Source organism: Homo sapiens, chromosome 11 (assembly GCF_000001405.40).
Source record: "Homo sapiens chromosome 11, GRCh38.p14 Primary Assembly".
Taxonomy (NCBI): Eukaryota; Metazoa; Chordata; class Mammalia; order Primates; family Hominidae; genus Homo; species Homo sapiens.
In genome coordinates, this window is record NC_000011.10 from 47964774 (window position 1) to 47969371 (window position 4598).

Consider the following 4598-nt stretch of genomic DNA (forward strand, 5'->3'; position numbering starts at 1 on the left):
CTCAGGGTTGGTGAAATGCCAAATGTATTAATATCTGTAGGGCTGCGAGCTGATGCTCATCCTGATTCATCAGAACCTGTGCCCGACTGGCTAAAATAGTTTGAGTATTACTCCTGATCATATGTGAAAGAACTTTGTAAACTTTAACATGGTATAAAATTGTGTGTGTTTGTGTGTGTGCATACATGTTTATACCTACATAGACAGCAGCCCCTGCTTATCCATGGGGGACATGTTCAAAGACCCTCAATGGATACCCGAAGCAGTGGATAGTACCAAACCCCATATACACTATGGTTTTTTTTTTGCTTGTTTTGAGACAGGGTCTTGCTCTGTCACCCAGGTTGCAGTGCAGTGTCTCGATCACTGCTCGTCCCACTGCAGCCTCAACCTCCTGGGTTCAGGTGATCCTCCCACCTCAGCCTCCCAAGTAGCTGGGACTACAGGTGTGTGCCACCACACCCAGCTAATTTTTTGTAGAGACAGGGTTTTGCCATGTTGCCCAGGCTGGTTTCAAACTCCCGGGCTCAAGCAATCCTCCCACCTTAGCCTCCCAAGGTGATGGGATTATAGGCATGAGCCACTGCGCCCAGCCTACACTATATTTTTTCAATACATCCATACTTATGATAAAATTTTAGTTATAAATTAGGCACAGTAAGAGATTAACAGCATTAACTAATAATAAAATAGTGCAATTATAACAATAAGCTGTAATAAAAGTTACGTGAGTGTGGTCTATCTCTCTCAAAATAATCTTTTTTTTCTTTGAGACGGAGTCTTCCTTTTGTCACCCAGGCTGGAGTGCAATGGCGTGACCTCAGCTCACTGCAACCTCTGCCTCCCTGGTTCCAGCAATTCTCCTGCCATCCTCCCAAGTAGCTGGGATTACAGGCGCATACCACCACACCTGGTAAATTTTTGTAGTTTTAGTAGAGATGGGGTTTTGCCATGTTGGCCAGTCTGGTCTCGAACTCCTGACCTCAAGTGATGCGCCTGTCTCGGCCTTCCAAAGTGCTGGGATTACAGGCGTGAGCCACCGTGCCTGGCCCTCAAAATATCTTATTGTACTGTACTCACCCTCCTTGTGATCAAGGGAGATGATGAGCTGCCTGTGTGATGAGATGAAGCGAAGAAAATGAGGCAGGCATTGTGTTGCAGCGTTCGGCTACTCTTGACCCTCTGAGAGCCAGAAGGAGGATCATTTGCTTCGGGTGATCCTGGAGCACTGAGCCATGACAATGTCCATGGTTGGATGTCAGGAACACAGGATGTGGATGACTGACGTTAGGTAGTGGTAGCGTATACAGCGTGTATATGCTCAACTCAGGCAGGACAGAGCGGTATGGCGAGAGATTTCTTCACACTGCTCAAAACAGTGCACAATTTAAAGCTCAGGAATAGTTTATTCCTAAATTATTCCTAAATTTATTCCTACATCATTCCTGTTTGAGGGTGACTGTGGGTAACTGAAACCATGAAAAGTGAAACCATGGATGAGGGGGGACTACTATATTCCACATCCCATCCCTGTCCTCATTCTGACTTTTCCTGTAAATTTTCCTGTGGCCTTACCCAAGTTGTTATCCTTCTCTGGGCCTTTATTTTATTTTTAATTTTATTTATTTTTTTTGAGACGGAGTCTCACTCTGTCCCCCAGGCTGGAGTGCAGTGGTGCGATCTCGGCTCACTACAACCTCCGCCTCCCAGGTTCAAGTCATTCTCCTGCCTCAGGCTCCTGAGTCACTGGGATTACAGACACATGCCACCACGCCCGGCTAATTTTTATATTTTTAGTAGAGATGGAGTTTCACCATGTTGGTCAGGCTAGTCTTGAACTCCTGACCTAATGATCTGACTACCTCGGCCTTCCAAAGTGCTGGAATTACAGGCGTGATCCACTGGGCCCGGCCTCTCTGGGCCTTTTTTAATCATCAGTAAATCAGGGGTTGAATGCATGACTTCTAAACTCTCTTCCAGCTGACAGCCAAAAGTTGAGTTGGTTGGCTAACACCTGGATATGGCCCAGGCGTGCAGGAAGCATATCTACCTCTGGCTGGTGCTAAAGGCCCTAAGGCCGGGAAGCAGGGAGCCAGGGATCCTCCCAGATAACAAACTCCAGGGTGAGTTGGGGAGTAAGGCAGGATCCCTTCACTGCTCTCCTTTGTTTGGGTTTATAATTCTGCAATGTAGATGTTTTACCCCAGGCATAATGATCCTCCAGGTTGGGTGGGGCGTGGTGGCTTATGCCTGTAATCCCAGAACTTTGTGAGGCCAAGATGGGTGGATTGCTTGAGCTCAGGAGTTCGAGACCAGCATGGGCAATATGGTGAGACCTCCGTCTCTGCTAAAAATACAAACATTAGTCAGGCATGGTGGCACACACCTGTAGTCCCAGCTACTTGGGAGGCTGAGGTTAGAGAATTGCTTGAACCAGGAGATGGAGGTTGCAGTGAGCCAAAATAGTGCCACTGCACTCCAGAGCAAGACTCTGTCTCAAACCCCACCGCCCCGTTAAAAAAAAAAAAAAAAAAAAAAAAAAATTAAAATGATCCTCCAGGCTAGGCGCAGTGGCTCACGCCTGTACTCCCAGCACTTTGGGAGGCCGAGGCAGGTGGATCACCTGAGGTCAGGAGTTCAAGACCAGCCTGGCCAACATGATGAAACCCCGTCTCTACTAAAAATACAAAAAATTCGCCAGACATGGTGACAGGTGCCTGTAATTCCAGCTACTCAGGAGGCTAAGGCGGGAGAATTGCTTGAACCCAGGAGGCGGAGGTTACAGTAAACGGAGATCACGCCACTGTACTCCAGCCTGGGCAACAAGAGCAAAACTCCGTCTCAAAATAAAAAAAGTGATCCTCCAGGTTGTCATTGTGTCAGTGGGGACCAGATTAAGGCAAGTCTAACATTGCCAGGAAAGCCAGGACACCTGGGACGCCTGCTGTAGCCTCATCTACACCAGGATCATGATTGGACGATGGCCAGGTTAGAACCAGGCCCAGGATGAGCTAAGCCCAGGCTGATTCCCCAGGGTCCAGAAGCCCAAGGCAAAAAATGCTTAACATTCTCTACATCTTTGGTGACTACAAACTTCAAGACTTGGCTAAATCAAGCATTCAAGCATATTGACATTTCTTTGTTTCTTCTTTTTCTTTTTTCTTTTTCTTTTTGAGACAAGGTCTGGCTCTGTCACCCAGGCTGGAGTGCAGTCGTGTGATCTCTGCTCACTGCAACTTCTACCTCCTGGCTTCAAGCCATCCTCCCATCTCAGTCTCCTAGGTAGCTGGGACTACAGGCACATGCCACCATGCCTGGCTAATTTTTGTATTTTTTGTAGACATGGGCATTTTGCCTTGTTGCCCAGGCTAGTCTTGAACTCCTGAGCTCATGCGATCCACCCACCCACCCACCTCAGCCTCCCAAAGCGCCGGGACTACAGGCATGAGCCACAGAGCCTGGCCGACATTTCTTAACAGCCCAGAAATTAATGGAGGTCAATTCAGAAGGGTGGGGGCCCAGAATGAGGAAGATCTCATTTTCTTCCCTGACAGTCACACAAAGGAGAACGAGCCATGTCAAGGAAGATGACAGGACAGAAGCCTCATGGCTAAAGTGCTGCTGATTTCTAGATCAGCTGTTACCATTTGCAAGTTACTTAACCTCTCTGAGCCTCAATTTGTTCATCTGTAGAATGAGCAGGTTGGACTGGATTTCTCCAAGGTTCTTTGTCATGTGTTACATGTTACAACTCCCTGAACCTCGGAGCAATAAACTTCAAGAGCAGCGGCAGCAGCTTTTAGTAGAGTGGATGCAAGGCTAAGAAAAAAATGCCTGATGAAAATGTTACCGGGGCATGGTGGCTCACACCTGTAATCCCAGCACTTTGGGAGGCCAAGGCAGGCAGATAGGCTGAGGTCAGGAGTTTGAGCCTCACCAACATGGTGAAACCTCGTCTCTACTAAAAATATAAAAATTAACTGGGTGTGGTGGAGGGTGCCTGTAGTCCCAGCTACTTGGGAGGCTGAGGCAGGAGAATCACTTGAACCCAGGAGGTGGAAGGTGCAGTGAGCCGAGATCGTGTCAGCATGAGACTCCATCTCCAAAAATAAAAAATAAAAAAAGAGGTCGGGCATGGTGACTCACGCCTGTAATCCCAGCACTTCGGGAGGCTGAGGTGGGTGGATCACGACGTCAGGAGATTGAGACCATCCTGGCTAACACGGTGAAACCCCGTCTCTACTGAAAATACAAAAAAAATTAGCCGGGCGTGGTGGCGGACGCCTGTAGTCCCAGCTACTCGGGAGGCTGAGGCAGGAGAATGGTGTGAACCCGGGAGGCGGAGCTTGCAGTGATCCGAGATCGCGCCACTGCACTCCAGCCTGGGCGACAGAGCGAGACTCCGTCTCAAAAACAAAAACAAAAACAAAACAAAACAAAACAAAAAAAGAATCAAGGGAGATGAAGAATTTCTATGTCTATGTTCTTGTCTTGAAATGGTTCATTTATGATGTGCATTCAGTGAGGTCAGGGGTGTCTGTAACATGCTGCCCTTTCCAAGAAGCTGGAAGTTAAAGGACCATGTAGGAGACTGCCCA